Source organism: Homo sapiens, chromosome 2, assembly GCF_000001405.40.
Source record: "Homo sapiens chromosome 2, GRCh38.p14 Primary Assembly".
Classification (NCBI taxonomy): domain Eukaryota; kingdom Metazoa; phylum Chordata; class Mammalia; order Primates; family Hominidae; genus Homo; species Homo sapiens.
In genome coordinates this window covers 48,102,447-48,126,682 of record NC_000002.12, presented here as the reverse complement: position 1 = coordinate 48,126,682, position 24,236 = coordinate 48,102,447, and the positions used below count along the sequence as shown (strand labels likewise).

The following is a 24,236-nucleotide window of genomic DNA, read 5'->3' as shown; positions in this document are numbered from 1 at the left end:
TTCCATTCCTGGCTGGGTGGGGTGGCTCATGCCTATAATCCCAACACTTTTGGAGGCCAATGAGGGAGGATCACTTGAGCCCAGGAGTTCAAGACCAGCCTGGGAAACATAGGGAGATCCCTTCTCTTCAAAAAAGTACAAAATTTTTACTTTAGTAGCTGAGTAGTCCCAGCTACTCAGAAAGCTGAGGTGGGAGGATGGCTTGAGCCCAGGAGTCCAAGACTGCAGTGAGTTGTGATTGCGTCACCGCACTCCAGGCTGGGAAACAGAGCAAGACGCTGTCTCAAAAAATAAAATTCCTTGTTTCAATCACATTTCCCCTGCTTTCTGAAGCTTTCTGTGACTCATCCAGACTCCCCCTTTCTGCCTAGGATTCTACAATATTCTGAGCTGACACTACACAGTCTGTTACTTGATTGCATTCTGTTTCACTGCATGCTGTCATTTACTGTGGGTCACATCATACTTCTGTAAACCAGCATATAGGGGAGAGTGACTATTAACAAAATAAGCTGGTTGCAGTGGCTCATGCCTGTAATCCCAGCACTTAGGGAGGCTGAGGGGGTTGGATCACCTGAGGTCAGGAGTTCGAGGCTAGCCTGGCCAACATGGTGAAACCCCGTCTCTACTAAAAATACAAAAATTAGCCAGGCATGGTAGTGGGCACCTGTAATCGCAGCTACTTGGGAGGTTGAGGCAGGAGAATTGCTTGAACCCAGAAGAAAGAGGTTGCAGTGAGCTAAGATTACGCCATTGCACTCCAGCCTGGGTGACAAGAGCAAAACTTCCTCTCAAAAAATAAATAAATAAATAAATAAACAAACAAACAAAATAGAGAACCTGTAAATAAACATTGCAAAGTTGTGTCCAAATAAACATTTTCATTCCGGATAGTCCTCATTCAAAATAATTTTGTAACTCTTCTTTGGAAATGGCCTTCAGATCTCATTCATGAACTGTAGAAGAAAGATTTGTTGTTTATTGTGACCCTGAGTTTTCAGCCCCAAACAGTATTTACTCAGCTACCTTATTTTTCAGACTTGATTCCAAATGCTTTTTTTTTTTTTTTGAGACAAAGTTTAGCTCTTGTTGCCCAAGCTGGAGTGCAGTGGTGCAATCTTGGCTCACTGCAACCTCCGCCTCCCGGGTTCAAGCGATTCTCCTGCCTCAGCCTCTCAAGTAGCTGGGATTACAGGCACCCGCCTTATTCTCCTGCCTCAGCCTCTCAAGTAGCTGGGATTACAGGCGCCCGCCACCACACCCAGCTAATTTTTGGTACTTTTAGTAGAGACGGGGTTTTGCCATGTTGGCCAGGCTGGTCTTGAACTCCCACAGCAATGTTCAGTCAGAAAATCAGAGCCACTGTAAGTGAAATAGAACAAGGGCTTTATATATGGATTAGACTTTACACAATTACGGAATCTGGTAAAGATGCTCATTGCCTCTGCATCTAGTATGGGTCTGAGGTCTCTTTAGACCAGTAGGATCAACAGTCAGCAAGAAAATCTAACATGAAGTTGGGGAGCATGAGGACAAACTGGACCCCATGTGGGTCTCTCACGGCCTCCTTCCTTGATAATGTGCATGACCTACAGAAACAGCTTTGCTACAGAGCTGCACCTGTGTCTGGATTCTGGCCCTGTATTCAGGGAAGCTGGAACAGGTAATGCAGTATCTCCTTTGAGCCGCGCTGCTGCCCCAGGCCCACAGGAAGAGCCCCCGGACCAATAATGCATGCAGCCTGCAGAGACAGCTAGCACCCTCCACTAACCTTCAGAACATTATGCTGCTGGTTCAATTCCACATTCCAAATCCTGCCTGCAAATTTCTCTCATAATCAACCCTAACCTGGCACTACATATGGAAGAGCATTCTGGGACATGTAGTTCAACTTGGTAGGTTGATGCAGTATAGTACTAGTACAGTTACTAAAATGCAAGCTGACCTCTAAGGGATGAAGGCTTGCCAACACTGAAAGTAGTCAAAAGCAAATGCCACAGCTTTTGAAGAAACTTTCAGTGTAAGAGTTCCTAAAAATGTTGGACACAAGGGTAGAATCTTTGGAGTAAGTAGCAATTGCTTCCAAGAAGGTAAGGTTGACTGACCTCTTTAAAAAAGGAAAATGTTCACTTGGACATACAATATTCTGGTGTCTTCATGAAGGGAATGAACTGAATCTTATTACTTTTTAGCATTCCTTATATTTTTGTCATTTTTCTCCTCTGATTCTCAAGTTTACAGATCTTTTTTATTGTTGTTGTTATTGGTTATGTTTTAGCTCAGCTGAGTTTTATGACTCATTCATGAGTTGTTCAAAAATCATACAGAGGCCAGGCACGGTGGCTCACGCCTGTAATCCCAGCACTTTGGGAGGCCAAGGTGGGCGGATCATGAGGTCAGGAGATTAAGACCATCCTGGCCATGGTGAAACCCCGTCTCTACTAAAAATACAAAAAAATTAGCTGGGCATGGTAGTGCACGCCTGTAGTCCCAGCTACTTGGGAGGCTGAGGCAGGAGAATTGCTTGAACCCAGGAGGTGGAGGTTACAGTGAACTGAGATCGCACCACTGTACTCCAGCCTGGTGACAGAGCGAGACTCCGTCTCAAAAAAAAAAAAAAAAAAAAATCATACAGAGCAGGGGTCCCCAACCCCCAGGCAGTGGACCAATGCCATCAGGAACCAGGCTGCACAACAGGAAGTGAGTGGCCAATGAGCACTACTGTCTGAGCTCCACGTCCTGTTAGATCAGTGGCGCCATTAGATTTTCATGGGAGTGCAAACCCTAGTGTGAACTGTGTATGTGAGGGATTTAGGTTGTGCACTCCTTATGAGAATCTAATGCCTAATGATCTGAAATGGAACAGTTTCATCCTGAAACAATCCCACCCCTGCTGGTCCATGGAAAAACTGTCTTCCATGAAACCAGTCCCTGGTGCCAAAAAAGGTTGGGGACTGCTAATTCAGAGGAATAGGAAGTGTCCTAGAGCTAGGTAATTCACTTTCCCTTCCCAGGGTGGATATTCTTGACATTTTTTCTTATTATGGGATATAATTCTTAGCTATAGATTTTAGAGTCCATTTTTTCTCTGAGGTCATTGACCTTCTGGCCTTTCACCACAACTAAGCAGGTCTTTTCTTACCCTTTTTTTTTTTTTTTTTTTTTAAGACAAGGTCTCACTTTGTCGCCCAGGCTGGAGTGCAATGGCATGATCAGCACTCACTGCAACCTCTACCTTCCAGGCTCACGTGATCCTCCTACCTCAACCTCCCAAGTAGCTGGGACTACAGATGTGCACCACCACGCCCAGATGATTTTTTATTTTTAGTAGAAACAAGGTTTCCCCATGTTGGCCAGGCTGGTCTTAAATTCCTGACCTCAAGTGATCTGCCCACCTCAGTTTCCCAAAGTGCTGGGATTAGAGGTGTGAGCCACTGCACCCAGCCAGATCTTTTCCTATTATACAGCATGTCCTACTGCTTATTTTAGCTGTTTCTAAAGGCCTTCTCCGTTAATCTTGATGTCTTATAGCAGTCTGTCGAGGCTGCCATAACATAATAGTATGGCCTGGGTGGCTTATGAACAACACGAATTTATTTCTCTTCCTTCTAGAGGCTGGAAAGTCTGACATCAAGATGCCCAGCAGGTTCAGTGTCTAGTAAGGCCCACTTCCTAGTTCATAGACAGCATCTTCTCACTGTGTTCTCACTTGCTGGAAGGGGCAAGGGAGCTCTCTGGGGCCTCTTTTATAAAGCCATTAATCCCATTCATAAGGGTTACACTCTCATGATCTAATCACCTCTCAGAGGCTCCACCTCCAAATACCATCACATTGAGGATTAGGATTTCAACACGTAAACTTGGGGGGGACATAAACATTCAGTATATAGCACTTGACAATTTAATGTGAATGATTCTATTCTTGTCATTCTAGGCAAATCTAGAGGCTGGCAAAAATGTTCTATGGATGTAAAATACCTAAATTACAAATGGTATGGTTAATGAATTACATTTCAGTCAGTTTGCTCTTGATTTCTTTTTTTCATTTTTTGAACAAAGCCCAAAGGCCTTCGGTCCCTAATATGATTCTTAATATATCTGCCACCTTGACCATTGTTGCCTAATTTATGTATTTGTGTTAAAATACATATAGCATAAAATTTACTATCCTAATTATTTTTAAGTGTATGGTTCAGTAGTGTTAAGTGCATTCACTTTGGTGTACAACCAATCTCCAGAACTCTTTTCATCTTGCAAAACCGAAACTCTGTGCTGAAAAACAATCCCCCATTTCTCCCTCCCCCTAGTCCCAGGTAACCACTATTCTACTTTCTGTCTATGAATATGACTACCGTAGTTACCTCATATAAGTGGAATACTACAGAATTTGTTACTTCATGTCTGGCTTATTTCACTTAGCATAACGTCCTCAAGGTTCATGCATGTTGCAGCATGCGTCAGAATTTTCTTCCTTTTTAAGACTAGATAATATTCCATTGTATGTATATATCACATTTTGTTTATCCATTCATCCATTGATGGACACTTGGTTTGCGTCCATCTTTTGGTTATTATGAGTAATGCTGCTATGGATGTAGGTATACAACTATCTCTTTGAGACCTTGCTTTTAATTGTAATTATTTTGGGTATATACCCAGAGGTGCAATTACAAGGTCATATGGCAATTTATTTTTAATTTTTTGAGGATCCACATACTGTTTTTCACAACAGCTGTACCATTTTACATTCCCACCAACAATGCTGAGTCTTCTGACCTTACACCAGTATTGTCTCCATTGTGCCACCTGCAGTGAGCTTAACATTTGGATATAGGCTATTTTGGCCTATTCCCTGTTTCCTGTATGTTCACCTTATCTTCCCAGCTAGATATAACTCGTTGGGCATAAATTCTGTCTTCTCCTGCTCCTATTATACTTCCCAAGTATCTTAAAACATGCTGAACACAAGCACAAATTCAACGTATACTTGTAGGATGAATGATTGAATGAATGAATGAATGAGCACAATTATTTCTTCTTTCCTATCTCTCTCTCTCTTAATCCAATTGTTTCATCTCTTTCTTCCACCAGTTCCCATTGCTAGCCAACTCAAGTCATAGACTCTACTTTCTAGTTCAGAATCTTGGTCTTAGCAGGAAAATTAAGTGTTATTTAGTTCTTTATGGTACATGATGAAGGGAGAAACACTGGATTTGAATCTCAGCAAGTCACTGAACTGCCAAGGTACTACAAAATAATGTAAAACACATGCCCATTATTGAGAATCACATACCATGAAGCACTATGCATGCAGCTAATATAGTGTCTGATACTTCATACATATTCAATAAATGTTAACCTACTTCTTACACTTTTTATTCAGGTTTCGAATAGGCACACTAGAATGTAAACTCCTTTAAATGCTGGAACTATGCTTTACATATCTTTCTATCTTCTTTAATGCTTTTGCTTAGTACATGCCCAAAGACATTTATTATATAAACAAACAAATGAATCAAACATCCAATCTATACTGCAGTTCTACCAGAGTTGTTTTTCGGTGGTTCCTTCACAAATTTATCAGTTTGGATCAGCTAGATATGATGCAATGTCAAAAAGAGAACCACAATGGCTTGCAACAGGGTTTATTTCTTGTTCATGACACTTATCCATCATGAGTCAGCAAATGGTCTTCTAGTCACTCAGGGGCCAGGCTGATGGAGGTGCCATTTCTTCACATATCTCCACAATTGCAGAAACAGGGAAAAGAGAGTATGGCAACCACAGGCTGGCTCTCACAGTTTCTGTCTAGGAGTGGTACACATCAATTCCACTCACATTTTATGGGCCAAACAAGTGACATGGCCACATCTGAGTTCAACAGGGTAGGGATACACAGTGCTCCCACAGAGAGGGGCACTGAAAATTTGTGAAGGGCCGGATGTATGGCTCCTGCTTGTAATTCCAGCACTTTGGGAGGCCAAGGTGGATGGATCACCTGAGGTCAGGAGTTCGAGACCAGCCTGGCCAACATGGTGAAACCCTGTCTCCACTAAAAATACAAAAATTAGCCAGGCGTGGTGGTGCACACCTGTAATCCCAGCTACTTGGGAGGCTGAGGCAGAAGAATCGCTTGAAACCTGGAGGCGGAGGTTGCAGTGAGCCAAGATCACACCACTGCACTCCAGCCTGGGCAACAGAATGAGACTCTGTCTCAAAAAAAAAAAAAGAAAAAAGAAAAGAAAATTTACGAAGAATAACATAATCTACCATCACAGCTTAGAAGGCTCTTTATGATTTGATTCCTGCCTTATCTACATAACCTTGAACTCTGGCCATGGTGGACTGATTACAGCTGCTCAAACACAGCATGCCCTTTACACTTGGGTGCTTTAGATATACTGTTTCCTTTGTCTGGAGCATCCTGTCGTTCATCTATTCATCCATCCATTCATCCACTCATTCCTTCATCTTTTTATCCCTTCATTCAACAAATACGTGTTGAGTGCATTTTGTGTAATAGATCTGTCCCAGTAGAAACCTCCTTTTCATCTTCAGGCTAAGTGCTCACGTTAAAATTACTCTAAAACCTTCCATCTGGCTACCATAGTTCTAACATATGGTTAGATGCTCTCTCTTATGCTCATGGCACTTTCTACACACCCACATCATAGAATTTTACACCCTAGCATTGTGGTGGTGCCTTCAGAATTTCTCTATTGAAGGAGATTAGGAGTGACAATCTGGTTGGGGTTTGTAATGGAACTTCTTTTGAAGCTACAGTTGCCTATCTTTTTCACATAAGATTGAGAAGAGTAAGTTTTTTTTTCAAATAATGGAGGTAGAAGTAGATGAGATTATGCCCACTTCTTCCCCTAAGCTACCCTCTGGAGCTCCCACTGCGGTATTGAAATATGTGTGTCGACGTCTCTCTGGAAGACAATGACTGCTTCTTATTCATTGTTATATTGTAAGAAGTATAGAGAGTACAAGAGTATGTGCTCACTATTTGTGGAATAAATAAATAAGTAAAACAGCCACTGATACTGTTACAGGAAAGGGATCTTGATCCAGACCCCAACAGAGGGTCCTTGGATCTCCCACAAGAAAGAATTCAGGGCGAGTCCATAGACTAAAAGGAAAGCAAGTTTATTAGGAAAGTAAAGGAACAAAAGAATAGCTACTCAATAGAGCCCTGAGGGCTGCTGGTTGCCCATTTTTATGGTTATTTCTTGATTATATGCTAAATAAGGGGTGGATTATTCCTGCCTCCTCTTTTTAGACCACATAGGGTAACTCCCTGATGTTGGCAAATGCCATGGCACTGGTGGGAGTGTAGCAGTGAGGACAGCCAAAGGTCACTCTCATGGCCATTTTGGTTTTGGTGGGTTTTAGCCGGCTTCTTTGCTGCAACCTGTTTTATCAGCAAGGTCTTTATGACCTGTATCTTGTGCTGACCTCGTATCTCATTCTGTGACTTAGAATGCCTTAACCCTCTGGGAATGCAGCCCAGTAGGTTTCAGCCTTATTTTACCCGCCTCCTATTCAAGATGGAGTTGCTCTGGTTCAAACGCCTCTCACAATACTACCACTTTTTGGAGCCATCCCCCATAGTCATCAGCAATCTCTGTGGCAGTGGTTCTTGTCCTTGGCTGCACATTGGAACCACCTGGGAACTGTAAAAATGGAGACACCTTGGCCTCAGGCTTAGAAGTTCTGATGTAGACGATCTAGGATAGGGTCTAGACATGAGCAATTTTAAAACATAACCAAGTGATGATAACGTGCAGCCCAGACTAAACCATATGAGGGAGCAACAGAATGACCTGGTGGGCTCGTTAAAACAGAATTATGTGTCCAGGCACAGTGGCTCACACCTGTAATCCCAGCACTTTTGGAGGCTGACGTGGGTGGATCGCTTGAGCCCAGGAGTTTGAGACCAGCCTGGCAACTTGGCAAGAACCTGTCTCTACAAAAAATACAAAAATTAGCTGGGTGTGGTGGTGCACTCATGTAGTTCCAGCTCCCCGGGTTGGTCAGGGAAGCCGGAGGCAGGGGGCTAGTGAGGTGAGAGGATGTCTTGAGCCAGGGAAGTAGAAGTTGCGTGAGCCCAGACTGCGCCACTGCACTCCAGCCTGGGTGACAGAGCAAGAGTCTGTCTCAAAAACAAACAAACAAAAACAGAATGATGAGCTCCATCTCCAGAGTTTCTTATTTACTAGGGTTAGGGGTGGGGCTTGATAATTTGCATTTCTAGCAAGCCCCCAGGTGATTCTGATAGTTGATGTTGCTAGCCCAGAACTACAGCTCTATGGAAACAGAAATCTCAGTCCGCTGAACTATGAACTCCACCCCACCCCAGTCCACCCCTACTCCCGTATTAACTTCATAATTAGCTCCAGGAATGAACTTATAAGTAAGTGTACTACTAGATTTTTTTTTTTTTTTTGAGACAGGGTCTTGCTCTGTCACCTACGCTGGAGTGCAGTGGCACAATCATAGCTCACTGCAGCCTCAAACTCCCAGGCTCAAGCAATCCTCCCACCTCAGCCTCCTGATTAGAGGGAACTACAGGCATGTGCTGCCATGCCCGGCTAATTTTTAAATTTTTTTGTAGAGACAGGATCTCACTAATGTTGCCCAGGCTGCTCTTGAGCTCCTGGGCTCAAGCAATCCTCCTGCCTTGGCCTCCCAAAGTGCTGGGACTACAGGTGTGAGCCACCATGCCTGGCCTACTACTAGATTTTTAAAAAAATATTTTAATATATACCTTCCTACTTTCCCAATAAGAAGTTGAGGTAGAAGTGATTTGAGAGGAAATTGAAATCGTTTTCTGGTAATTACTGATTCACACCTTTGGCTACTAAAAAAGTTTATCAAGACTTTTAATTACAAATAATACATATAATATAAAAAGCGCAAATTTCCTCCTTGGAGGAAATAGACTGTGAGTTCAGTGCGAGGTAGAAGGTAGTGAAGGTGTTTAGGATAAGCCACTGTGGCATAAAAATATTTTGAGCTGAAAGCATTTGAGTTCCTGAGATCCCTTAACTGCCTAAAAGCAGGACTTTTGAATAGACCTCAATTGTCATAAATCAACCAGGGAAGAATGACTTTTATCATCAGAGACAATGAGAAATCAGACAATGAGAAGTAGGCACCACACCAACAGTCATTGTCACAAACGTATTATAGCTCCCATTTATTCTGCTAAGCATCCATTTAGCTTTCCTAAAAGTCATTTGCTTTCCCATAAGCACTCTTTTACTCACTCTCCTTTACCTATTAAGATATATTTAAACCTCGAATTCTAACTGCCTTTTTGAGTCACATTTCTTTGTGAACTCCCTTTCATATATACATAATTAAAATCTGTCTTTTCTTGCTAATCTATCATCTGTCTAATTTGCAGGCCCCCCAAAACTGGACATAAGAGGGTAGAGGAACAGTTTTTCCTCTCTGAGTTGGGAATGCAGACGGGGGTACTGCAAAGTCACCTACTTATTCACTTACAGCTGCCTGGGTTTGACCTTCAAGTTGTCCATTGAACACCGATATCCCAGGAATCCTGTCTTCAGTCATTGGCTGTTCTGTTCTTTATCTTCTCTTTTCCCTAACTCTTGCACTCACAATCTGCTAACCCACCAAATGGAGCATGTACTCTCTTGTTCTCCTGTTCAGGTTCCTCTGTGATCAATACTTTGCCTTTCTGGATGGGGAACAACTCAAAAAGGCCAACTTGGATATTTGCACACTGTGATTTCTATGCTATTTCCATCACTTTTGAGCAGAGCAAAACAGGTTGGCAAACCTCAGCTCTCATATGGAACTCAGCCTTGGGAAGAGATTGAAGGAAAAGTCAGTTGGCTCTTCTGCACTGGCATTGTAGGGCAACTTGGCATAGAGAAAAGAGCCCTGGGTTGAGGATTAGGAGACCTGAGTGTGGTCCCAGTTCTACTTTGTGTCATTTTAACTGCCATGGGCTTTCATTTCCTCATTTATTAAATGGGGTTTCCCACCACATGGGACTGTTTGGAAGATCATATAGGAAAATGGAAGAGAAAGCATATGGCACTCAGGAAAATACTTGTATTCTATTGGGGCTCAGCAGAGCATCCTACTTCCAGCACTTTGTAACTGAGAAGGGACACCACCATGCTTGTATCCCCATCTCATTCTATAAACATCATCAAATGCTGTAGAACATATCCAAACAAACCAGAGTGCATGTGTACTCATAAAGGAAGGTATGGCAGAAGCCCAGTTGGAAATTCAATCTAGATTGGCCCCAGAAACAATTTTCTATTGCACTTTGCATCCATGACTTCTCCTACTCCTCATATCCATTCCACCTTCCAACCTGGTCCCCGGGCCTCATTCTTCTTTTCTAGCTTATAGTCTCCAAACTCAAGAGAAAATATTCTTTCTGACTCTCGAAAGGAAGAGATTCCCAGTGGCTTAGAAAGGACAATGCCTAGCTAGCCCCTGAACAGACGCTGGCACCTTATAAAGGAAGTTTTTTTAAACAAGCTTTTTGTGAACTAGGATGTTTTATGAGCAGTAGCCCTTGGCCAAACCAGGAGAACAGAGGTGCTCTCTTCCCTTTGTTGGACATTTAGAAACATATTGTAGATTGTTTGTTCACTTGTTTTACCAGAAGTATGCATAACTTCAGTAAGCAGGGGAACCAAGGATCTTTTTTTAACTATAAAAATAAATTTTCTTGGCCAGAACTATTACTATATTTTGTCTTTGTTGATTGTTATATTCAACTATATATATATATATAGTTGAAGGCAACCATATAGTTGATATATATAATTGAATATAACAAATATATATAGTTGAAGGCAACTATATATATAGTTGAATATAACAATCAACTTATATTATTGAATATAATATTCAATATATATTGAATATAAAATATATTGAATATATGTGTATGTATGTGTGTATATATATGTGTGTGTATATAGATATATATATAAAGGGGGCAATAGTTTGAGAGTACTAACCCAATGTATTTTTATCCTCAGTAACTCATAATGCCCAGTTTTACTGAGGCTCCCATATCAACTCAGACCAAAGCTTCTTCCACAGCATAAAGAGGATTCTTCTTAGCCATTTAGCCAGGAAGCCTGGTGCCCCCAGGAGGAAGGAGGCTATGGTGAGGGTTGTTCATTCTGAAGAGGTAAAAGCATGAGAAAGGAAAACATAGGCAGATCCAGAAGAAGACAGAGTTGGTTAGATGCCACTGCCAGGGTTCTAGCCAGCCTTCCCTTGCTGAACCTCAAGGAGACGAAGGTGTAGAGATACCCAGCTGGGCATCAGGGAGCCCAGGTTAACTGGATGTGGTGGCTCCATTCCCAGGCATGGTCTGGGGAGTCCACAGGCTTCTAGGAGGAGCCTAGCTTTTAGCTTCACTACACCCAACAGTGAGGGGCAGTGACGGGTAGTCTCAAAGAAGGCAGAAGCAGCAGAGGCAGCATCCCTGGGTCCCTATAGCCTACGTGTAGTGTACAGAGTACCTGAAAGTTCCCAAGTGTCCTATTTGGATGACATGAAGGGGTTGAGGCCTGACCAGATAGCCAAAATCTGGGGTCAGGATTAAGAAGCCTCAGCATGTAGTGTTGTTTTGTTTTGTTTTGCTTTTACATCAGAAAGACATGTCTGAGAATCCGGTATTTGTGTCAGGAAGAGACAAAAAACTAGATGATCAGGCAAGAGAAGAGGGAGAAGGCAGAGGACATGTGAATCTGAGGCCTCCTCCCTGTGCCATAAGATCATATACACTCCCACATACCCTAGAATGTGACCCTGGAAAGGAGCAGGGAGAGGAGATTGGGAAGACTGAGCATTGGCGCACACTCTAAGTCATTCCAAAGAGGTTACTTAAATGGCAGAAATGGAGATCCTAGTGATTTTGCAAGTTTAAAGACTGTTTCCTTCTCAAGGTGCTCAGTGGGTTGACATCTTGAGGGAAAAGTTTAGCCAGTTATGGAAAACTACAGTTTTATTTCCTTTGTACAACTGAGTAGATTTTCATGTAAAAGTTCAACCCTGCCCCACATCTGTGGTATTAGTTGAATTACATAAATTGTTTGCCCTTTGGGTTTATGTGCTTTCTTGGTTTGCACAATATTCAGTCTCAGAATCCTTGAAGAACAAAGTATCCACACACACGCCTTGTGACATCATAATCCAGTCACTGATATGACTGCCTCTCTGATTCTGAGTCATCAGGCTCCACCCATGCTCTGAGGTCATCCTGGGTTCTAAAAGCACCTGGAACACCTCTGTGAGCCATCATTAAAATGCTTTGCCTACTTTCATCATCCTGACTTCACTTCCTTCAGTGGAAACGTCTAGAAACTATGTTATGGTCTCAAATTTTTAAAAGTAATTTTCAGAGTGTTTTACTTATATTGTTTCATATTATCCAAACAGCTCTATTAGAAGAAATGGTAGTAATTCCATTTCAGAGCCCAAAAATAGATGCTCAGAAGCTGAGGTGTTATCAATCAGGGCCCAGTCCTGAAAACAGAAATGAAACTAGGTACTTCAACACAGACATTTTAATATAGGGGATATTGGTTGCCAGCATTTGTATCCTGGATCTGCTCACACCAGCTTGTGAAATTCAGGGATGCCATGTTGATAATTTAAAACTATCCATGGTGAATGATTTATATTATGGGAATTGGCACACATTACAAATTGGTTTCTTTGTGGTTTTTGTTTTTCTAGAGAATTGGTTGTTAAATATTTACAAGCATACCACTCGTTATAGATATTGAAGGGCTGGAAAACAGTGAACATTGTGGTAACACAGAGATAGTCCCTGTAGAAAGCAGCTACCACACCAGGGCTGGGAAACAAAGGGGAAAAGGTTAGGCTATGAAAACCTAGGAGATCAGAGGAGGGGACCCCAGAGCCTGGGCTCAGACTGGAGAGGAGGGGTGGCTGCTCCTCCCGGTGCTGAAACATTTGAGGGGGCATGATGACATGACAACACTGGACAGGGAGTGCTGAAGAAAACCGGAGGCCAGAACCTACTGCTGATGCTAGGGTGAAGCTGACAGGGATAGCAAGGCAACAGAAATAAGAGTGTCCTCTTCCTCTCCTTCCTTGAGTCTCCCTCTATCTAGCACCCTGGCAGAGCTTCACAGGGACTAGCGGCAAAGGAGAAATGTGGTTTGCAGAGTCTTAGATGCACCATCTCAAAGCCACATACAGAAGGCAAGTTGGTGTGAAAGTCAATTGCTTAATAACTAGCACATTTGGTGATTTGCTCAGGTCACATAGCTTAGTAAGTGTGGTCTGTTTTGCTTCCTAGGATTTCTCAATGTCTAGATAAGCCCTTGGTATACAGCATGCACTCATAAACATTTGTTGAAGGAAGGAAAGAAGGCAGACTAGACTAGCCCAGTTCTCCGGCCCACATTTAAAAGCCCATGTTGATGTTTAAGCACCCCACTGCACCCAGTATTTCTTTATATAACCCAGTTGTCTCACACTGGGGATGTAGGAACTACATAAGGAGGTACCAAGCACAGCTTGGTGCTTTGGAGAAAAGCAGATCTGGATTCAAATCCCAGCCCCACTATTTAAGAGTTGTATGGCCTTGGGCTACTCAACATCTGAAGCCTTGGTTGTTTCATCTGTAAAAGGGAGATAGCAGTGGTACGAAGCTTAAATAAGGTAATCGTATCTGGCATGTTCAACCCATGGTCTTTGCTACTTTTTTTTTTTTTTTTTTTTTGAGGTGGAGTCTCGCTCTGTCGGCTGGAGTGCAGTGGTGTGATCTTGGCTCACTGCAACCTCTTCCTCCCGGGTTCAAGTGATTCTCCTGCCTCAGCCTCCTGACTCGCTGGGCTTACAAGCATGGACGACCACGCCTGGCTAATTTTTGTATTTTTAGTAGAGACGGGGTTTCACTATGTTGGTCAGGCTGATCTCGAACTCCTGACCTCGTGATCCACCCGCCTCGGCCTCCAAAGTGCTAGGATTACAGGCGTGAGCCACCGCGCCCGGGCTTTTTGTTTTGTTTGTTTGTTTTGAGATAGAGTCTTGCTCTGTCGCCCAGGCTGGAGTGCAGTGGCGTGGTCTCGGCTCACTGCAACTCCGCCTCCCGGGTTCAAGCGATTCTCCTGCCTCAGCCTCCCAAGTAGCTGTGATTACAGGCGCCCGCCACCACGCCCCGCTAATTTTTGTATTTTTAGTAGATACAGGGTTTCACCATGTTAACCAGGCTGGTCAAACTCGTGATTTCAGGTAATCCGCCTGCCTCGACCTCCCAAAGTGCTGGGATTACACGGGTGAGCCACCGCCGCCTGGCTGATCTTTGCTACTATTATTCTTACCCCACAGCCCAGAAGGGAGGGCAGATAAGAGCCCGCTAAGCCCAGGCTGGGGCCAGTGACCCCGCTCTTCTGGGCTTCCCTCTCCTATCCCGGGTGCTAGCCAAGACCCGGGCTGGAGGAGCAAGGATCTGCCCAGGGCTGCGATAGTCCGGCCAAGAGTTGAACAATGGAGGCCAGTCTGGCCAGGGCCCAGGGCTGCAGCCCAGTATGGTCTCATAAACTGCATTTGGAACCTCTAGATGGGAATCTGTGTTTCCTAACACTTTGTTCCAAAGCAAGTTTGCACCAGCCTGAATGAAACAAACGCGGGTGTGGTGGTTCCTCATGTTCAAAACGAAACAAAAATAAGACAAAGAGAACTCCGGCCCCCAAGCCACAGACAACCTCTAGATCTTTCCCCAGGCAAACTGTGCGGCAGGAGAGGAGGAAGCGCCTTTGTAGTTGCCACTGGGACTCAGGGCCTCGGAGCGCTGCGGTCTCGGGTGTTCAGGTCCATGGTCCTGAACCCCAAAGGCTCCAGGGCTCCAGGGGTGGGGCTGGTGGGGTTCGCCCTGCCCAGCCGGGGGCGCCGGCCGGGGAGGGAGGGGAGGGCGCATGGCCGGGCTCAGCCTGGCCGCGCCCCGCCCCGGGAAGCTCCCACTCCCCCTGCCGGAATCCTGGGAATGTCACCGCCCCGGGAAGCATCTGGCCGGCCTCTGGGCAGAGGGTGGGGTCAAACCTGGAATTTCTCGGGTGCTTTTGCACAAAATCCCTGCAAAGGGGAATCAGCTGCATGAAGCTGAAGCCCATGGAATTGAGAAGGAGGCTGCCCACTTCTCCAGGCAGCCTTTGTCAGCACCTCTTCCAATCTCCGCCGGGAGGGCGACCGCACGCTCCTTTCCCGTTCGGAAGATTCCTTCTTTGTGTCGGCGGGGGCAGTCCTTCCGGAGCTGGAAACCGAGGGACCCCGGCAGGCGTTTCCAGCTGGACTGTCGCCATCTTGTGGCAGGACTGGGTGGCCACACTGGCCCAACGGCCAGATCCGCATGCCCACAACTTTCTTGGGTTCCAAACGTACCTTTCCTTCTTTCCCCAACCTGCTAGGAACTGGATTTTAAAATCACGTTCCCTGAAGATACCTCGGTTCTGTCCTCTCCCAATTGCACGGGCGTTGTCTTCCTAAAAGCTACCCTGCTCTTTGGAGAGTCCAGTGCAAGCCTCACTGAGGGGCTCTGTGTTAAATCCATCAAAACCAACTCGTACGAGGCGTCAATCCTCCACCAATTTCCCATGAGACAAACCAATGATTAAGAGCACAGAGACGCACTCTGGTTAGTGATGTTATTATACTTGATGAGTATTATTAAAGGACCCCTGTTATTAAAGACTCCCCATTATTATTGTTATTATTTAGCACTTATAATATATTCTGTATTTTCAAAGCACTCAAAGTCTATTATCTCCCTGGACTTTCTAAACACTACAGAGAGGCGGGCAAGTGACAGCCTCATTTTATAAAATAGGGAAACTGAGGCATTGTAATTAGTGCAGAGTGCATGGATTCATGAGTCAACAGTACTCATTTCCTTCTAGCCTTTTATTGTCTTACTCCAAACTGTCATAGATTCCAGTAGGTGGTAAATAGACATCCTAACCTGGGAAACGAGTTTCTCTCACCCACTTTACAACCCATTGTAATCACATTAGAAACCCAAGCGTAGAAGTTTTCAAACTTAGAGTCGTGTGCCATTACACTGAGCATATGGGTGATGTTATTTGTATTTTATTTTATTTTTACAAGTCAAACACAATCCTTTTTTTTTTAAGTAGGGATTCTATAATCAGTAAACCAGGCACATCTTGATTTGAAAAATGAATTGGTTTTTAAGACAAATCCTCCTTCATTTGATACAGCATGCAGAAAAAAAATACCGATAAAAAAACCATGTTATTTTAAAGTCTATTATCATCCTGGAGACAAGAAAAACTATTTTCTGCTTTCAGACTTTGTTTCTTGTTTTCAAAAGAGTTTTCACGCTTATCAGTGGGTGCGCTCATATTACCACAGTACCTTAAGTTCCTTTGATAACTTAGTTTTCTCTCCGAAAGCAACAACAAAATATGTAATTTTGTTCTGTCCATAGAAAGCAATGACATGACACACTCCTCTCACCTAGCCTCCCCAAAAAGAAAAACATCCAGTCATTTTGGATGTCTTGAGTGGAAAGGTTTGGGTTTAAATTTGGAGCCGGGTCAGAGTTGAGACAAAGGAAGTTTTTGAGAGGCCTGTCCTAGCTGCTAAGATCAGCCTAGGCCCTGAACTTAGCAAAGCTAGAAAAATTGAGGAAGTTTGTCTTTGGACTCTTCCCATACAACTTTAAGTGAGCGTGTCTTTTTACTCAGTTCTCACCAAAAAAAAAAAAAAAAAAAAAAAAATTCTAAATGTCCATGTTTAAGAAAGTTGTTGGTTTGGGGAGTCAGGTTAGCTGTCTCAACTTCTTCTTATATTTATTCATATCATTCATTCACTCGGAATGTATTTATAAATTGTATTAATCAATGGCTACTTCTATGGGCCTATGACAAGCAAGGCACTTTAGATTTATTATTCCTATGCTGCAATCCTTCGAAGTAGATTCTCATTATTCCCACTTTACAGGTGAGGAATCCAAAGTTCAAGAAAAGTTCAAATAACCCACTCACAGTTGCACAGCTAGAGGGAGAGCTGGGATAGATCTATAAAGCTGCAACTCCTGTGCACACAGAAATATGAAGCCACTTTCACCCTCTGGAATCCTTCAGGTAGGAAAACAAGACTGAGAAGTGTGTATGGTAAATAGAAAATTTGGAGTTAAAAAATATTACAAAGTGATAAAACATTGTCAGTAGTAGGGAAAGGGCCCTGTGTGTACAGCCAACATTTATTATGTCTGTAGAGTGGACTCTTACTGGGCCAGCCCGGCTCAGTTTGTCAGCCAGCCCTTGAGCCTCATCTTTTTGTCCTCTGACTTTAGGCCAGCCAGCCAAGGTGGGAGAGGGTGACTAGCTGATGGAGAAGCTCATGACTTCCTAAACTCTTTCAGATTCCTTCAACTTCCAGCTAATGGAGAAACAGGTTCTTCAGGAAGACCCCAGCCTTTGCTGCATACAAAGAGAGCCCAAAGCCCTAGGCAGTCCTAGTTGGAAAACAGAACTGTAGATGCTTACTAATATGGTAAGCAGAAATTTTTCAGGGCAGTGCAGTATACACTGAATAAGAAAAGGGTGAAACAACAAGGGAAGAGGCAATTTCCACTCAACTATAAGATTAAGAAATTAGAAGGAAATTGATAGACAATATGAAATAGTGTTTGAGACTATCTCTCTGGAGCCAGGCCATCAGGATTGCCATCCCAGTTCCATCACTTCATATTAATAGCTGTGTGACTTGGGTCAGTCATTTGCCCCTTCTGTGACTCAGTTTCTTCATCTGTAAATGGGGGTGATCCTACCTCATAAGATTGATGTGAGGATTACATGAATTAATGCATTATGCTTAGAGCAATGTCTGATCCGTGGTAAACACAATGCAAATGCTAGTATTTATTATCATTGTATTTCTTGAATTGAATTTGTTGACTAAAAATAACTTTTCAATCAAATATATATATGGGCTCCTATCCCTACTGTGTGGTCCTGGGTAATTTACCCAATCTCCCTGAGCTTCAGTTTTCTGCATCTGTAAATAAGGTAATAACACCACCTTACAGGAGCATTGTGAAGATTAAATAACATGCATGGAGATACTCACCATAATATTGGTCATATAGTAATGGCTCAATAAATTCCCATTTCCTTCTTTTCTTAATTTAGCATTAGTGAACATTTTTGGTGTGTTCAGTGGTAGGAAAAGAATAGTACAAATGAAAATATGAGGCCGGGTGCAGTGGCATGCCTGTAATCCCAGCACTTTGGGAGGCCAAGGTGGGTGGATCACCTGAGGTCAGGAGTTCGAGACCAGCCTGGCTAACATGGTAAAACCCCATCTCTACTAAACACACAAAAATTAGCTGGGTGTGGTGGCGTGCTTCTGTAGTCCCAGCTACTCGGGAGGCTGAGGCAGGAGAATTGCTTAAACCTGGGAGGCAGAGGTTGCAGTGAGCTGAGATCACGCCACTGCACTCCAGCCTGGGCGACAGAGTGAGACTCTGTCTCAAAAAAAAAAAAAAAAGAAAAATAAAAGAAAAGAAAGAAAAGAAAAGAAAAGAAAGAAAAGAAAAGAAAAAGAAAATGTGAATAAACGTACCTTATAATTAAACTGTATAAATTAAAGTACATTTTATAATTAAAAAGAGAAGCCTGTGGTTTATGGGGATGTCATGAGTACCTAATTATAAAATGGCAACCAAGCAGGGCTGTTCCTCAGGAACACTGTGAGGCACATCAGCAGCAAGTCTACCTCTCCTTTTCTGTGCCATTTTTGTTCAGTTTCAATCTTGCCTTCCCTTCAGACTGCCTGAGGGCAGGAGCTTCCGGACAGTGGATATGGTGAGGAAAGAGACTTGGGATGACTCACCGAGGGGTCACAGTGCTCACAGTTGCTTTAGTGCCTTTCTTTTCCCCTGAAGCCAGGTCAGAGGGGCTGCAGCAGGGGCTGAGGTGGGCTCTCTCAAAAGCAGTTGTCTGGGGTGGAGGTAGTTATCTGCATCTTTGCTCCTCAAAGTGCACTTCCCAGCTTTGGCAGCAAGGGTAGCCTCAACAGCCTCGAGGAACTTGTTAGAAATGGAGAATCTCAGGTCCCACCCCAGACCGATGGAACCAGAATATGTGTTGGAACAAGATTCCCAGGAGATTTAGATGCATGTGAAAGTTTAAGAAGCGCTGAGCTGAAGCTTACGAAGCCCACTGTAGCCACTTGATCTGAACGGATGCTGGGATTGAGATACTTTAAATTGTGTGTCTCGTCTTCATTTCGTCTTTCCTGAATCTACAGTGTGCTTTATAAATGAAAAAGACAATGGCCTACTATGGAGAGAGTGCCCACTTTAATTGATCGGAACTCCCAAGAGGCTGAGAAGTAAGAGATGACCCAGATAACAAGTGAAACTCACTTCAGTGGCAAGCATAGAAGACTATGAACTATCAGTCAGGCATGTCTATAGGGGACCTTCTGTGTGCCAGGCACCTACTGTGTGCAGGCACTGTGGATGATGCAAGGGAATGGCATGGTGCCACGGGAAGCCCCGCCCTGGGAGTGCTCAGGAGACGCGGGTTCTTGTCCAAACCTCACTTTTCAGCAGCTGGGAATTCCCCTCACCCCTCGGCATCTGCATTTCCCATCTGAAAAACAAGTAGGTCATCAACTCTAAAGAGATGTGATTCTAATAGCCCTAGCCTCATATCCTTGGTATAATTGGGTAGATAAAATGATTTTAAATGATTACACATGAAACCGAGGGCAACTCAGGACAGGATGTGATTAAGAGCTGAGCTGTGCGGAGTTGGCAACGTGGGGAGCTCTGACTCCTGGAAGCTGTATGTGAAGTGCAGAAGTGTCTGGAATCCATAAACTCCTCCTCCCCTGGCTTCCAGAGCCTCTATGGAGGAGGGGGGGCCGGATGGACTTTCACACTTGGCCACTAGGTGTCGCTGTGATGATGTGAAATCTACGGCTAGCAGGGAGGCTTACAGGGAAAATCATCTTAGCCGCTCCGGGTAAAGAAACAAGGCTGGCTTCCAGACAGGAAAACACAAGTTTCTGAGTGCTGAGGGGCTCAGAGCACAAAGTTGGCTTGGGTCTAAACAGGAACCAGTGCATACATTCCACCCTGCCCAGGCTGGCTCAGATGACGTGAAAGTAAGAATGTCAGCAGAGGGCACACAACAGACCCCACCTACACACACACACACACACACACACACACACACACACACTTTTCGGACATCAGAGTGTCAGGGACCTTCCTTATCACACTGGGTCTCTCCACCGTGTTCTGGACTCTGCTCCTCTACTCCTCACTTGCCCTATAGATAGTAAGGAATTTGAACCCAAATCAGAAGCGCTTCCTCCACAGACCTGATCCCAGTAGAGTTTTGCTCCGGCAGTCAAGTTAGGAGGCTTCAGTACAAGCCTGAGGCCCTAGCCTGGTCACTCTGTCTGGAGGTGAGCAGTGTTTGTTCCAGACCTACCAGTGCTGTTCAACGTTCCGACCCATGCAATTTCCCTGGAAAAGGGATTGCGTGGAGGGAGAAAAGTGGCGCTGATTAAGGCTGCACTGTGCCACGCTCAGGGCTATGCACCTTACACGTATTGCTCATGAGCTAGCTTCCCCCGCACTGCTTCCTACTATCCCCAGCTCTGCTGCTGAAGAACAGCGTAGACAAACCAAAAGCCTTCCTTCTCCTAAGGAAATAACCAGCATTTACTAGCATAGAACGTAGAGCCCCCACGCCTTGGTCATTCTCAGTTCTGTTTCTTGACGACCATGTGATAATATGTGTGTGTCATTTCATCTTTCTGAGGCTCAATTTCCACATCTGTAAAATACAGGTATTAACTTCATACCTTACAAAGTTGTTTAAGCATGCCTTGCAGCTTGTAAGATGCTATACAAGAATTACATAGAAGTCAATTTTTTATTTTTAGATTTCTTATAGTTTTAACTTTTTATTGAAGTATAAGTTACACACTGAAACATGCACATTGTCATCAATGTATAGCCCATTGAATTTTGAGACTGAACATACCAGCACCCAGACTGAGAACAGAATACTACCAGCAGCCCAGGGACCCTGCCTGCCCCTTCCAGGCACTCACCTACTCGCCTCTCACCCTGGGCTTATATTATCCTGACTTGTAAGAGCACAAATTAGTTTTTAATTTTTATACTTAATATAAATAGAATTATACAATATGTGCTCTTTTGTCTTTGGCTCTTTCACTAAGCTTCCATGTTTTTACATATAATAGTTCATTCATTCTACTTGTTATAAGGTATTCCATTGAGTGAATAGACAACAATTTATCCGTTCTAGAGCTGATGGATATTTGGGTAATTGTCTGTTGGGGGAAGCTATTATAAATAGGGCATATTTGATGGTTCTAGTACATATCTAGTACACATCGATACTCATTTCTGCTGGACACAAGACTGATTTCTACTATTTTCTTTTTTGTGTCTCTTTCAAGTAAATTTGGATTTGCACATGTGAAAGCCTCTGTATCTTGATGTGACAAGCACACCCACTTTCTGGTAGACTGGCTAGAAAGGAATTTGAGAAAGTTAGGACTGGCAAAATTTCATTAGCTCCTAAAGGTGCTTCCTTTTTTTCTTTTTCTTTTTTCCCACACTACCTTACCAATGTAAGGGTGTTTCCTTGAACAGATGTGTAGCTGTATTTCAGCTCTGTACAGCCACCACAGCCCCGTTTCGTATGTTTTAGTCCTGTCTCCAAAATTATGTTGTCAGATCATTCAACATAAAGGACCATACTTTTTCCTTGTCTTATACCACCCACTGAGCTGACCAGGAGTTGGAAACAAGGTGGCTGGATGTTCAACTGTTTATTTTCTTATTCAGTTCATTGGCTTGGACCACCCTAGACTGGACTAGACTAGCCAGTAAAGGAAGAATTGTCCCTATAGAAGCTCCAGACCATTCTGGAGTGGGAAAAAATAGTGAAAAAGGGCAAAAGTTTCTTTTCTAGAAGTCTTGGAAAAAGACTGGTGTTTCATTGGCTCTGATTTGGTCACATGCCTGGCCCTGAAAAAAAAAAATTAATCCAGCCAGAGTCCTGCAATGCACATTTGCCTGGTTTTTAAAACCATGTGCATATATATTTTAATTAACTTTTAAAATCATAAAATAAAGAAAAGTACATAAAGCACACAGATGGAATATAGTGAACAACTATGTAATCACTATGCAGATCAAGAGCAAAAACATCGCTGGGATCCCAGAAGTCCTTACTTCATGTGTCTCTTCCCCATCATAACTCCCTCCTTCCTTCCCTCTAGAGATAATTATTATCCTGACTTTTATAGTAATTACTTCCATTTCTTTACAGTTCTGCCAAATGAACATCCCTTAAAAATATAATTTAGTTTTGCTTGTTTTGAACTTTATATAAATACCATGTGTATTCCTTTGTGTCTTACTTCTTTCACTCAACATTGTTTTATGATCGATCCATGTTGTTCTGTGTAGCTGTAGTTCATTCATTTTTATTCTTATATAGTATTTAAGTGTGTAAATATACCACAATTCACTTATTCATTTTATTGTTGTTGGATATTTTGGGCTGATTTCAGTTTGGGCTGATTATGAATAATGGCCATTATTCACATGGCCATTTCTGTACACATTTCCTGATACATATGTATATACATTTCTGTAGGGTATAAATTTAGAAGTGAAATTACTGGTTCATGGTATATACATATCTTCAGCTTTGCTAGATCCTATCAAATTGTTTTTAAAGTTGTGTCAATTTACGCTCCCATACTTTTGCTGTGTGTGAAATTTCTTGTTATTTCACATCTTTGAAAATACTTTGTATTGTCAGATTTCTTAATTTTTGTCAAATTGATGCTTTTACATGGGTTTTCATTGTGGTTTGAATTTGTATCTCCTTGTTTATTTATGCAATGAATGCCTTTTAATATATTTATTAACAATTTGTACTTCCACTTGTGAGACATGTCAAAGTCCTTTCACCTTTCTGGATCCAAGTCTTTTTTTTTTTTTTTTTGAGACGGAGTCTTGCTCTGTCACCCAGGCTGGAGTGCAGTGGCGCGATCTCAGCTCACTGCAACCTCTGCCTCTTGGGTTCAAGCAATTCTCCTGCCTCAGCCTCCCAGATAGCTGGAATTACAGGCACTTGCCACCGCGCCTGGTTGATTTTTGTATTTTTAGTAGAGACAGGGTTTCCCATGTTGGCCAGGCTGGTCTTGAACTCCTGACCTCGTGATCTGCCTGCCTTGGCCTCCCAAAGTGTTGGGATTACAGGTGTGAGCCACTGAGCCCGGCCTCTGGATCCAAGTCTTTTGTCAGTTGAATATGTTGGGAATATCTTCTCTCACTCTATTGTTTCCATTTCTTTCTAGTATATTTTGATAAACAGAAGTCCCTAATTTTAATGTAGTCTGATGTTTTAATCTTTTCTTATATGATTGGTGCTTTTGTTTCTTATTTAATATACCTTATTTAAGATATGTTCAAAGTCATGAAGATATTCTTCCCTATTATATTACTCTGTATTATCTCCCACAAATTCTGTTGGCTTTCCTTTCATATATCAACCAGTCTCAGTTGTTCTGAGATTAGCTTTTGTGTATGATGTGAGGTAAGGATTCAATTTAAAACTTTTTCACATGGATACTGATATGGTTTGGCTGTGTCCCCATCCAAATATCAACTTCAATTGTATCTACCAGAATTCCCACATGTCGTGGGAGGGACCCTGGGGAAGGTAACTGAATCATGGGTTGGTCTTTCCTGTGCTGTTCTCGTGATAGTAAGTCTTACGAGACCTGATGGGTTTATCAGGGGTTTCCACTTTTTTTCTTCCTCATTTTTCTCCTGCCACCACCATGTAGGAAGTGACATTTGCCCCCGCCATAATTCTGAGGCCTCTCCAGCCATGTGGAACTGTAAGTCCAATTAAACCTCTTTTTGTTCCCAGTTTCAGGTATGTCTTTATCAGCAATGTGAAAATGAACTAATACAGATACCTAACAACCAGTGTTGAAAAGGCTGTTCTCTTACCAATGCTCTGCAGAGCTCCCTTTTAAATAAATTCCATGATGATATGTGTCTGGATTGGCGACTGCACTCTCTATTTCTTCCAATGGTTATGTGTCTATCCCTACATAAATACCACATTACTTATTTATTATAACTTCGTAATACA

General features: G+C 43.0%; 1 long non-coding RNA gene across 1 annotated transcript in view, besides 4 other annotated features; it reads left to right on the top strand.

Moving 5' to 3' along the window:
- The window catches only part of LOC105374593 (uncharacterized), a 56,709-nt gene extending 38,728 nt beyond the window's left edge, over positions 1-17,981 (top strand). The window contains exons 3-4 of the long non-coding RNA XR_001739456.2: positions 17,005-17,147; positions 17,429-17,981. This is a non-coding gene — a long non-coding RNA (uncharacterized LOC105374593). The remainder of the gene's footprint in view (positions 1-17,004; positions 17,148-17,428) is intronic.
- Positions 5,519-5,813: an enhancer, noted in NCBI's record as "tiled region #12235; K562 Activating DNase matched - State 5:Enh". NCBI's record gives its function as "activates a minimal TATA promoter and a strong SV40 promoter by Sharpr-MPRA in K562 cells {active_cell/tissue: K562}" and the evidence as "EXISTENCE:reporter gene assay evidence [ECO:0000049][PMID:27701403]".
- Positions 14,854-14,963: a silencer, noted in NCBI's record as "silent region_11475". NCBI's record gives its function as "represses an Ori minimal core promoter by ATAC-STARR-seq in GM12878 lymphoblastoid cells {active_cell/tissue: GM12878}" and the evidence as "EXISTENCE:reporter gene assay evidence [ECO:0000049][PMID:35858748]".
- Positions 14,984-15,063: a silencer, noted in NCBI's record as "silent region_11474". NCBI's record gives its function as "represses an Ori minimal core promoter by ATAC-STARR-seq in GM12878 lymphoblastoid cells {active_cell/tissue: GM12878}" and the evidence as "EXISTENCE:reporter gene assay evidence [ECO:0000049][PMID:35858748]".
- Positions 18,953-20,152: an enhancer, noted in NCBI's record as "BRD4-independent group 4 enhancer chr2:48333670-48334869 (GRCh37/hg19 assembly coordinates)". NCBI's record gives its function as "activates an origin of replication core promoter dependent on BRD2, P300/CBP, MED14 and CDK7 cofactors, and independent of BRD4, by STARR-seq in HCT116 cells {active_cell/tissue: HCT116}" and the evidence as "EXISTENCE:reporter gene assay evidence [ECO:0000049][PMID:35650434]".